General features: G+C 48.3%; 1 protein-coding gene across 3 annotated transcripts in view; it reads right to left on the reverse strand.

Moving 5' to 3' along the window:
• MROH8 (maestro heat like repeat family member 8) overlaps positions 1-12,537 on the reverse strand; it is a 78,382-nt gene that overhangs the window by 18,823 nt on the left and 47,022 nt on the right. For 2 of the 3 annotated variants that reach the window (NM_213632.3, NM_213631.3), the window contains 1 exon segment: positions 8,832-9,178. In NM_213632.3, the coding sequence (NP_998797.2) occupies positions 9,031-9,178 (148 nt within the window). In that variant the 3' untranslated portion in view covers positions 8,832-9,030. 3 annotated transcript variants of the gene reach the window in all.

A 12,537-nucleotide genomic window follows, 5' to 3' on the forward strand; every position in this document is an offset into this window, starting at 1 on the left:
CAAAGAATACTGAATTATGCATGTGTGGAAAGAAGATTTTTGAGAGGCTTGAATCTGAAAATTCTTTCTTTTTTGTGTGTTTGTTTTGTTTTGTTTTTTTGAGATGGAGTCTCACTCTGTTGCCCAGGCTGGAGTGCAGTGGTGCGATCTTGGCTCACTGCAATCTCTGCCTCCCGGGTTCAAGCGATTCTCATGCCTCATCCCGAGTAGCTGAGATTACAGGTGCCCGCCACCATGCCCAGCTAATTATTTTGTATTTTTAGTAGAGACGGGGTTTCACCATGTTGGCCAGGCTAGTTTTGAACTCCTGAACTCAGGTGATCCGCCCGCTTCAACCTCCCAAAGTGCTGGGATTACAGGCGTGAGCCACCGCGCCTGCCCTTGAATCTGAAAATTATTTCTATCTCACTCTTGAAACAGATCCCAACATGCCACTAACTCGATGTAGCCTAGGAAGGCAGGGATTGCTGCTTCATAGGCTTCCTGAATCCAGCTTCTAAACAATGAGTCTTACCTCCACAAAAAAGCCTGCAGATGTGAGTTTATGTTTATCATTCCCTCGGTTAAGAAGAGGGACTAATAAGTACATGACCTTCTGTGCAAGGAGCTGATTTCTTTCCAGCAATGCGCTGCAAAACACAACACCAACAGAATGACTCTCAGGAATGCTCCCATCCAGAGGGCATTGTCTCAGGGCTGGGGACCCTCTAGAAGTTCTTGCCCAGCTACAGGATAGTATACGGTAGGGCCAGGACCTCTGAAAAATTTGCCTAGCATTATGGATATTTGCCCACCCTCTTATAAGGAGGTTATTCAACCTTAGTTGCTGTGATAACTAGAAGGGAAATAAATACTCAAAACAATGCCGATTTAGAACAGGTGGGTGTATGCATGACAAGGAAGCCTTACTTGGCAAGGAGAAATAGTCCCTGAAGATGGCCATCTTTTCCTCCCAGGAGAGCCCATCCTTTATTCTTTTCCATGATGTTGAATTCCTGCAAGCAGCATGTTCTGAGGAGGAGAGTCTTTGTAGCCTGCATGGCAAAGCTAAATCAAACGAAAACAGTGTGGGTGATTTGAACAGGTCCCTCCAACTTACCAGCACACAGTCATCCCATTCTCAGTGAGGAGGGTCATGCATTGACAACTGCTGGACTGTAATTCTCTGCTTTCCAAATTGCCCAAAAGACTCTTCTCTTTTTTCTTTTACTTTCTTCTTCTTCTTTTTCTTTCTTCCTTTTTTTTTTTTTTTTTTTTTTTTGAGACGGAGGCTTGCTCTGTTGCCCAGGCCAGAGTGCAGTGGTGAGATCGTGGCTTGCTGCAACCTCTGCCTCCCTGGTTCAAGCGATTCTCCTGCCTCAGCCTCCTGAGTAGCTGGGATTACAGGTGCACGCCACCACACCTGGCTAATTTTTCTATTTTTAGTAGAGACTGGGTTTCACCATGTTGGTCAGGCTGGTCTCAAACTCCTGACCTCAGATGATATGCCTGTCTCGGCCTCCCAAAGTGTTGGAATTACAGGCATGAGCTACCGTGCCCGGCCTACTTTCAAGACTAGTCAAGTGCAGTAGTGAGACCAGAAGAGTCTTAATGCTCTAATAACTTGTAAGGCCCTTTACACAAGATCTCAGCATAAAGAAATCTAACTAGGTCTCATTTCCCCAGGAGTTTAGAAGGAAATCTATGATAAAAGAAATGATCTGGGATGCTAAACAGACACACACTGCTTTTTTAAAAGCTTTACTGAGATACAATTTACCCCACACTATTTATCTCCACTGTTTTTATTATTTATTTATTTACTGAGACAGGATCTTGTTTTGTCACCCAAGCTGGAGGGCAAGGGTGCCATCATGGCTCACTGCAGCCTTGAGCTCCTGGGCTCAAGTGATCCTCCTGCCTCAGCATCCAGGGCAGCTGGGATTACAGGCATGTGCCATCAGGCTCCAATAATTTAAGAAAAAAAAATTTTTTTCTGAGACAGGGTCTGGCTCTGTCTCCCAGGCTGGAGTGCGGTGGCGCGATTTCTGCTCACTGCAGTCTCAATCTCCTAAGCTCAAGCAATCTTCCCACCTCAGCCTCCCGAGTAGTTGGGACCACAAGTGTGTTCCAACACACCTGGCTAATTTTTATAGAGACAGGGTTTCACCACGTTGCCCAGGCTGGTGTTGAACTCCTGAGCTCAAGTAGTCCTCCTGCCTCGGCCTCCGAAAGTGTTGGCATTACACATGTGGGCCACTGCACCCAGCCTAAAAATTTTTTGTAGAGACAGGCTCTTGCCCTATTGCCTAAGCTGTTCTTAAACTCCTAGCTTCAAATGATCCTCCTGCCTTGGCCTCCCAAAGTGCTGGGATTACAGGAATGAGCCATTGTGCCTGGCCGTCCACTGCCTTTAAAAGCTACTTACTGAACTGTTATCCCGGACCTAGCATCAGAGAATCTTAAAGCTGGAAGGAGCCTGAGCAACACAGTGAGACCCCTTCTCTACAAAAAATAAAAATAATTAGCTGGGCATGGTGGCAGGCAACTGTGGTTCAGCTACGCAGGAGGCTGAGGTGGGAGGATCACGTGAGCCCAGGATGTTGAGGCTGCAGTGAGCCATGATCATGCCACTGCACTCCAGCCTGGGTGACAGATGGAGACCCTGTCTCAAAAAATAAAACAAAATAATAAAGCTGGAATGGTCCTTTGAGATCACCTTGCCTGACCTTTCCATTTATAGATAAGGAAACTGAGGCACAGAACAATAGATTTGCCCAGGGTATAGAACTAGTTGAATGGATGAATGAGAACTGCACTAGAACTCAGGTCTACTGACTTAGTCTGGTGTTCTTAAATATGTCACATTATAGTACTTTCTCTGAAAGAAATCCATGTGCCATAGCAACACTAAGAAACGTCTTTATTATTATTATTACTTTTTGAGACAGAGTCTTGCTCTGTTGCCCAGGCTGGAGTGCAACGGCACGATCTCGGCTCACTGCAATCTCTGCCTCCCGGGCTCAAGTGATTCTCGTGCCTCAGCCTCCTGAGTAGCTGGAATTATAGGCATGTGCCACCACGCCCAGCTAATTTTTGTATTTTTAGTAGAGACAGGGTTTCACATGTTGGCCAGGCTGGTCTCAAACTCTTGACCTCAGGTGATCCACCTGTCTCAGCCTCCCAAAGTGCTGGGATTACAGGCATGAGCCACCATGCCCAACCAACAACACTAAGAAATTTCTACTGAGACTCTAATGGGACTTAAAAATATCTCTCCATGCAATAAAACAGAAAGCAGAAATCACTGCATGGTGGATCAGTACAGTTTTGGAGGTAGGTTTAGGCTGTTTTGTTTCTGTCTGTACTTGATTTATTAGGAAAGGGCTAACACAATATCACATTTGGCTAACCCAGATATAACCCAGATAGCCAAATTTACCTTGTTACTAATAAAACCAAAGATAGCCAATGAAAGCTCAGAATGATTCCTGGGCATTTCATCTTGATGGCTCATGAGGGTTGAAGGTTGTAAGCTCCCCTTCAGTTGGGACTACATCTTGGCTATCCCTGTGTTCACCACAGTGCCCAGTGCTTAGTACGTGTTACTTAATGTCAATGAAATAATGATGGGCAGTACCACAAAGGGGTGACCTCTGAAGGCACTTCCTGTTCTGTGTACAGGCCACTTGGGATGTCGACATCAGACATGGTGAGGCCGATGCTGTGATGAATCTGGATAAGCAGTGTCATGAGAAGCTGAGGAAAGAGTCGGAACGTAGCTGCTCGAAGCCTGTTTCCCAAAAACACCTCATAAAGGGCATCTGTTGCCTGTGGTGGAAAAGACACAGAGAGGAACTAAGCACCTGCCATTTTGAAATACGGAAGTCATGAAGGAAACTATTAACATATTTGACTACATACAAATATAAAGCCAGGGCAACATTTATCATAAAGTTAGATGACAACAGGCCAGGTGCAGTGGCTCATGTCTGCAATCCCAGCACTTTGGGAGGCCAAGGCGGGTGGATCACCTTAGGTCAGGAGTTTGAGACCAGCTTGGTCAACAGAGTGAAACCCCATCTCTACTAAAAATACAAAAAAATTAGCCAGGTGTGGTGGCTCATGCCTGTAATCCCAGCTACTCGGGAGGCAGAGGCAGGAGAATCGCTTGAACCTTAGAGGTGGAGGTTGCAGTGAGCCGAGATCGTGCCATTGCACTCCAGCTTGAGTGACAGAGCGAGACTCTGTCTCAAAAAAAAAGAGTTAGATGGCAACAACCTGGAGAAGTATTTGTATCAATATATTGTTCTTACTATATAAAATGCTCTTACGTAGCAGTAAAAAAATTACTCAAAGGGTAGGCCACACACCAGTAGCATTGTCATCACCTGGGAGCTGGTTAAACAGGGAGAATTTCAAGCCCCATCCCAGGCCTTCCATATCAGAACCTGTATTTTATTATTATTTTTTATTTTTTGTTTTTGAGACAGAGTCTCGCTCTGTCACCCAGGCTGGAGTGCAGTGGTGAGATCTCTGCTCACCGCAAGCTCTGCCTCCCGGGTTCACGCCATTCTACCGCCTTAGCCTCTCGAGTAGCTGGGACTACAGGTGCCCGCCACCACGCCCGGCTAATTTTTCATATTTTTAGTAGAGACGGTGTTTCACCATGTTAGCCAAGATGGTCTCGATCTCCTGACCTCGTGATCCACCCGCCTCGGCCTCCCAAAGTGCTGGGATTACAGGTGTGAGCCACTGCGCCCAGCTGAGAACCTGCATTTTAATAATATCCCAAAGTGATTGTGGTTTGTGTGCATATTAAATCTGAGAAGGACTAGTGTACAGGGCATGAACAAACAAGTCATAAAAGAAATACAAACGGCCAATTAAAAACATATACAAGGCTGGGTGTGGTGGCTCACGTCCGTAATCAGCATTTTGGGAGGCTAAGGCGGGAGGATTGTTTGAGCCCAGGAGTTTGAGACCAGACTGGGCAACATGGGGAATCCCCGTCTCTACTAAAAAATACAAAAATTAGCCAGGCATGGTGGCACTCTCCTGTATTCCCAGCTACTCAGGAGGCTGATGTGGGAGGATCGCTTCAGCCCAGGAGGAAGAGGTTGCAGTGAGCTGAGATCATGCCACTGCAGTCCAGCCTGGGCAACAGAGTGGGACTCTGTCTCAAAAAGAAAAATAACAGCCTCTCGCTCTCCCTCTCCCTCTCCTTCTCCCCTTCCCTCTCCCCCTCCCCTTTCCACGGTCTCCCCTCTCCCTCTTTCCACGGTCTCCCTCTGATGCCGAGCCGAAGCTGGACTGTACTGCTGCCATCTCGGCTCACTGCAACCTCCCTGCCTGGTTCTCCTGCCTCAGCCTGCCGAGTGCCTGCGATTGCAGGCATGCGCCGCCACGCCTGACTGGTTTTCGTATTTTTTTGGTGGAGACGGGGTTTCGCTGTGTTGGCCGGGCCGGTCTCCAGCTCCTAACCGCGAGTGGTCCGCCAGCCTCGGCCTCCCGAGGTGCCGGGATTGCAGATGGAGTCTCGTTCACTCAGTGCTCAATGGTGCCCAGGCTGGAGTGCAGTGGCGTGATCTCGGCTCGCTACAACCTCCACCTCCCAGCCGCCTGCCTTGGCCTCCCAAAGTGCCGAGATTGCAGCCTCTGCCCGGCCGCCACCCCGTCTGGGAAGTGAGGAGCGTCTCTGCCTGGCCGCCCATCGTCTGGGATGTGAGGAGCCCCTCTGCCTGGCTGCCCAGTCTGGAAGGTGAGGAGCGTCTCCGCCCGGCCGCCATCCCATCTAGGAAGTGAGGAGAGCCTCTTCCCGGCTGCCATCACATCTAGGAAGTGAGGAGCGTCTCTGCCCGGCCGCCCATCGTCTGAGATGTGGGGAGCGCCTCTGCCCTGCCGCCCCGTCTGGGATGTGAGGAGCGCCTCTGCCCGGCCGTGACCCCGTCTGGGAGGGGAAGAGCGTCTCTGCCCGGCAGCCCCGTCTGAGAAGTGAGGAGACCCTCTGCCTGGCAACCGCCCCGTCTGAGAAGTGAGGAGCCCCTCCACCCGGCAGCCGCCCCGTCTGAGAAGTGAGGAGCCTCTCCGCAAGGCAGCCACCCCGTCTGGGAAGTGAGGAGCGTCTCCGCCCGGCAGCCACCCCGTCCGGGAGGGAGGTGGGGGGGTCAGCCCCACGCCCGGCCAACCGCCCCGTCCGGGAGGTGAGGGGCGCCTCTGCCCAGCCGCCCCTACTGGGAAGTGAGGAGCCCCTCTGCCCGGCCAGCTGCCCCGTCTGGGAGGGAGGTGGGGGGGTCAGCCCCCCGCCCGGCCAGCCGCCCCGTCCGGGAGGGAGGTGGGGGGGTCAGCCCCCCGCCGGCCAGCCGCCCCGTCCGGGAGGGAGGTGGGGGGGTCGGCCCCCCGCCCGGCCAGCCGCCCCGTCCGGGAGGGAGGTCGGGGGGTCGGCCCCCCGCCCGGCCAGCCGCCCCGTCTGGGAGGTGAGGGGCGCCTCTGCCCGGCCGCCCCTACTGGGAAGTGAGGAGCCCCTCTGCCCGGCCAGCCGCCCCCTCCAGGAGGGAGGAGGGTGGTCAGCCCCCTGCCCGGCCAGCTGCCCCGTCCGGGAGGTGGCCACCCCTACTGGGAAGTGAGGAGCCCCTCTGCCCGGCCACCACCCCGTCTGGGAGGTGTACCCAACAGCTCATTGAGAACGGGCCAGGATGACAATGGCGGTTTTGTGGAATAGAAAGGGGGGAAAGGTGGGGAAAAGATTGAGAAATCGGATGGTTGCCGTGTCTGTGTAGAAAGAAGTAGACATGGGAGACTTTTCATTTTGTTCTGTACTAAGAAAAATTCTTCTGCCTTGGGATCCTGTTGATCTGTGACCTTACCCCCAACCCTGTGCTCTCTGAAACATGTGCTTAGTCCACTCAGGGTTGAATGGATTAAGGGCGGTGCAAGATGTGCTTTGTTAAACAGATCCTGAAGGCAGCATGCTGGTTAAGAGTCATCACCACTCCCTAATCTCAAGTACCCAGGGACACAAACACTGCGGAAGGCCGCAGGGTCCTCTCCCTAGGAAAACCAGAGACCTTTGTTCACTTGTTAATCTGCTGACCTTCCCTCCACTATTGTCCTATGACCCTGCCAAATCCCCCTCTGCGAGAAACATCCAAGAATGATCAATAAAAAATAAAAGGCCGGGCGCGGTGGCTCACGCCTGTAATCCCAGCACTTTGGGAGGCCGAGACGGGCGGATCACGAGGTCAGGAGATCGAGACCATCCTGGCTAACACGGTGAAACCCCGTCTCTACTAAAAATACAAAAATTAGCCGGGCATGGTGGCGCGCGCCTGTAGTCCCAGCTACACGGGAGGCTGAGGCAGGAGAATGGCGTGAACCCGGGAGGCGGAGCTTGCAGTGAGTCGAGATCGCGCCACTGCACTCCAGCCTGGGCGACAGAGCGAAACTTTGTCTCAAAAAAAAAATAAAATAAAAAAATAAAAAAAGAAAAAAGAAAAATAACAATAATTTAGACCACAGAAAGCTGAACCATAAACTGGTAGGGGAGAAAATAAAGTAAAAAGTAAATGTTGATAGTAGGGCAGGCTGTGTGTGTGTGGAGGCAGGTTTATGGGAACGCTGTACTTTCTGCTGAATTTTTCTGTGAACTTAAAACTGCTCTAAAAAATAAAGTATTTAAAAGGAAAAAATGAAAAAAGTATACCAAATAGATATACCAAAAGTTTATATATGTATAAAGACTTCTGGAAAATTCATTTTTAGGGAGATTGTTACAGACATGAGCTAAGAATGGTTTTTACATTTTTTAATAAAAGGATTGTTTTAAAAAATCCAAAATCCAAAGATTGTTTAAAAGAAATCCAAAGAATATGTGACAGAGACTATATATTTACCATCTGGTCTCTTATAGAAAGTTGGCCAACTTCTGCTCAGGGAGATCTGCACTTTCTTTTTTTTTTTTTTTTGAGACTCTCTCTGTCACCCAGGCTGGAGTGCAGTGGCGTGATCTCGGCTCACTGCAACCTCTGCCTCCCTGGTTTAAGTAATTCTCCTGCCTTAGCCTCCTGAGTAGCTGGGATTACAGGCGGCCGCCACCATGCCTGGCTAATTTTTGTATTTTAAGTAGAGACGGGGTTGCATCATGTTGGCCAGGCTGGTCTCAAACTCCTGACCTCAAGTGATTGGCTCGCCTCGGCCTCCCAGAGTGCTGGAATTACAGGCAAGAGCCACTGTGCCTGGCCTTTTTTTTTTTTTTTTTTTTTGAGATGGAGTCTCACTCTGTTGCCCAGGCTGGAGTGCAGTAGCGTGATCTCGGCTCACTGCAACCTCTGCCTCCCGGGTTCAAGCAAGTCTCCTGCCTCAGCCTCTTGAGTAGCTGGGATTACAGGTGGGCGCCACTACACCTGGCTAATTTTTGTATTTTACTAGAGATGGGGTTTCACCATATTGGCCAGGCTGGTCTTGAACTCCTGACCTCAGGTGATCTACCCACCTTGGCCTCCCAAAGTGCTGGGATTACAGGCGTGAGCCACCGCGTCTAGTCTGCACTTTGTTTTATACAGTTCTACGATATTTGAGGTTTTTTTCCCACAAGTTTGCATTTCTCTTTAACTATGATGATACATATTTTTTAGAGGATGAGGGAAGGAATGTTTTAAACATATTAAACCAGGGATGTTTCCAAGGGACAGATGACAGTCATGGGTTCTTAGTTTCTGTTTCTGGTTGGGTCAATAAAGCCCCTTCCTCATACCTCTTTTCCGCTTATCACTAGAGACAGAAACTAAATACCATGGCTTCAGGCTTCTAAAAGCCTAAAACAAAACAGAACAGAACAACAAAAACAAAAAAAGGCAGGTTGGACGAGTTTGTATTAAGGCATTCTGACTCCTTCACTCTCCCCAGCTCCCTCCATGTCAATCCCTTGGCAGAAACACTGTAGACTTATAAATGGATGACAGATGCAGGCTTTGAGAGGGACCAAAAGGAACACTCTCCACTGGGGTGTGGGGTCAGTCATCCTGGGAGGGGCTGACATTAGAGGGGCAAAGCTCAAGGGCTTACAGCCACAGCCACATATGCCATCTTCTCCTGTGCAGGCTCATTATGGCATTTCTGCAGCTTCCTCAGGAGCCTCCACAGAATCCAGGTCGTGCTGGGAAGCTCCACCGACAGCATTCTCCACACCTCAGCCAGGTGCCTGGAAATCCCAAAGAGCAAGAGGAGAATGGCTGATTCCAATGCAATCTACAAGAGGTTCTCCTCTCTACTCAGCTCTTCAGGGTGTCAAAAGACTGACTTTGATTTCATAACAGTAACTCCCCAGGTTTATTTTTTTCCTTTTTGTGAGACCCTGTCTCAAAAAAAAAAAAAAAAGGTGGTTGTATCCATTTATTTGCCAACAAGCAGAGTAGGATTCCTATTGCTCCATATTTTCTTTTATTTACTTATTTATTTTTTAAATTTTATTATTATTATTATTATTTTGACACGGTGTCTTGCTCTGTCACTCAGGCTGGAGTCAGTGGCGTGATCTTGGCTCATTGCAACCTCTGTCTCCTGGGTTCAATCAATTCCCTTGCTTCAGTCTCCTGAGTAGCTGGGATTACAGGTGCCCGCCACCACGCCCGGCTAATTTTTGTATTTTTAGTAGAGCCAGGGTGTCGCCATGTTAGCCAGGCTGGTCTCGAACTCCCGACCTCAAGTGATCTGCCCGCCCTGGCCTCCCAAAGTGCTGGGATTACAGGCGTGAGCCACTGCACCCAGCCGATTTTTAAAATTTTACTTTAAGTTCCAGGATACATGTGCAGAATGTGCAGGTTTGTTACATAGGTATCCATGTGCCATGGTGGTTTGTTGCACCTCTCAACCCGTCATCTAGGTTTTAAGCCCACACGCATTAGGTATTTGTCCTATTGGTCTCCCTCCCCTTGCCCCCCACCCCTGAAGTCCCCAGGTTTTATCGAATCAAGTTCCCATTGCCTCAGCGTGGACTTCAAGGCTATTCATAACCTGGTCCTGACTTAACTTTTTGGCCTCATCTCTTCCCCATCACACACTCTGTGCTCAAACCATCCAGACCATTCAGACCATTCACCTTTACCTAAGAAAACACAGACTTTGAAAACCCTATACCTTTGCTTATGTCACTGTCCTTTTTTTTTAGACAGGGTCTCACTCCGTCACCCAGGCTGGAGTGCAGTGGTGCCATACACAGCTCACTGCAGCCTTGAACTCCTGAGCTCAAGCAATCCTCCTGCCTCAGCCACCCGAATAGCTGGGACCACAAGCATGTGCCACCACACCTGGCTAATTTTTAAATTTGTTTTTGTAAAGATGGGGTCTCGCCATGTTGCCCAGGCTGGTCTTGAACTCCTAGGCTCAAGCGATCTACCCACCTCGGCCTTCCAAAGTGCTGGGATTACAGGCATGAGCCACTGTACCCGACCCTTATGTCACTTTCTTAAACTGGAAGGCCCTTTCCAAAACTCTTCTCTGCCCATCAAAATCCTTCAAGGTCCAGCTCCAGTGTCATGTCTCCTAGGAAGCCTTGGTTGCTTCTTCACCATGTCTTTCGTAAGAGTTCTCATAGCACTTAAAAAGTTTCTTCTTCTTAGAGGTCACTTCAATCTTATGTGTGCTATCATCAGTTCTTTATGTGTGTATCTGTTCGCTCTGAAGGAAAGGATTCTTTCTGGCTCTTCTTCTAGGAATTCCTCAGGGACTTGCACAATGCCAGGTTCATAGAAGGTTAAATTATAGACACATATATTCGATGTGGTCTGTGGTCCTCAAATTTTGGCTAAAGTTAATCCTTGAAATAAAGCTTTGATCCTGCCTAGAAGAGATATCTTCTAAAGAAAAATAATATGTAATAACTTCTCTGTCATTGATTCAAATGTAGGGCCTGAGAGTTACATAAACATTGTGGGAGAACATTACAGTGGGAAGAAAATTGGGAGTTACTCATGCTTTTAATCCATTCTTTTATTTTCAGAATCCATTTAGGCATCTTGGTATGCTAGAGTAAGTTTTTAAAGTGTGATCTTCCAGGCCAGACGTGGTGGCCTATAATCCTGTAATCCCAGCACTTTGTAATCCTAACACTCTGTAATTCCAGCAACTGCAATCCCAGTAGCTTGTAATCGCAGCACCTGTAATCCCAGCACTTTGGAAGGCTGAGATGGGAGGACTGCTTGAGCCCAGGAGTTCAAGACCAGCCTGGGAAACATGGCAAAACCCTGTCTCTACAAAAAATGCAAAATTAGCCAGGTGTTGTGGTGTGTGCCTGTAGTCCCAGCTACTCAGGAGGCTGAGGTGGGAGGATCATTTGAACCCAGAAGGCAGAGACTGAGGTGAGCCAAAATCATACCACTGCACTCCAGCCTGGGTGGCAGGGTGAGACTGTCTCGGGGGGAAAAAAAAGGAAAAAAGAAAAGAAAAGAAAAAAAAGAAAAAAAGTGTGGTCTTTCAACTGTGAGACTCATCCTAAAACTTGAGAGGCTTAAAGACTATCCCAACATTTCACTCCTCACCTCAGTGATTCTAATTTGTGAATAAAACAAAGTAAGAAGGTCCTAAAGAACTCCTAAAGAAAAGGCCAGAAAGGCAATATAGGATGCTGAAAAAACTCACAGCTGCAGAATGATGAGACGGCAGAATAGGAACATTCATCTGGGATGACATAAAGAAATTCTCATATTTACTTACCCTCGGTTATTTTCTTTGGATTCCTGAGGGAGTAAATGAAGTACTTTGAGAAGCTGTTTATTGTGAGAGAAGTGTTGCAAAATGCTTTTAGTTTGCCACACATTTTAAGTGTGCTGAAAATGCATCTGAATTTAGAAAGCGCACAGCCTTTAAGCCAATGGTTCATGAATTTCAGTGTGAGAAACATCTGGAGAGTTTGTTTAAAATATGGAAAAAATCTTCCCACCTCCAGTGATTCTGATTCTGTCTGTAGTTGTGACATGGGTTTTGTTTGCCCATCATCCCTTTGGGAAACCACCTTTTCAAGATCCTTAACAATCCTATTTGGTTCGTGTAGTTTGGTGGGAGCTGACTCCAAGCCAGGCTAATCAGAGTCCTGCCCAGGACTAAAAAGCTTAAAAGGAAATGACACACCCTTTCCACTGCAGTTTTGAGCTGATAGTAACCATCTTTGCCACCTTTAGTGCAAGTCCATCTGAGAGATGAATGGAGCCCTGATGAAATAAACTGAGTCTCGGGATTCAATCCTGACGACAGACCCTTGGACTTTGCTGTAATATAAGCCTATACAATTTCTTAAGGTAGTGTGAGCTCAGTTTCTGCTACTTCCAACCAAGAGTCCTGACTAATATAGTATGTGTGATGTAGGGTCTTGGAAAATGCTTTTCTTCTTTGAGACAGGGTTTTACTCTGATGCTCAGGCTGGAGTGCAGTGGTGTGATCACAGCTCACTGCAGTCTCAATTTCCTGGGCTCAGGTAAATTCTCCCACCTCAGCCTCCTGAGTATTTGGAACTATAGGCGTGTGCCACCACAACTGGCAAATTTTGCACTTTCTGTAGAGACAGGG

The sequence above is a fragment of the Homo sapiens genome, chromosome 20, assembly GCF_000001405.40.
Source record: "Homo sapiens chromosome 20, GRCh38.p14 Primary Assembly".
In the NCBI taxonomy this organism is placed as follows: domain Eukaryota; kingdom Metazoa; phylum Chordata; class Mammalia; order Primates; family Hominidae; genus Homo; species Homo sapiens.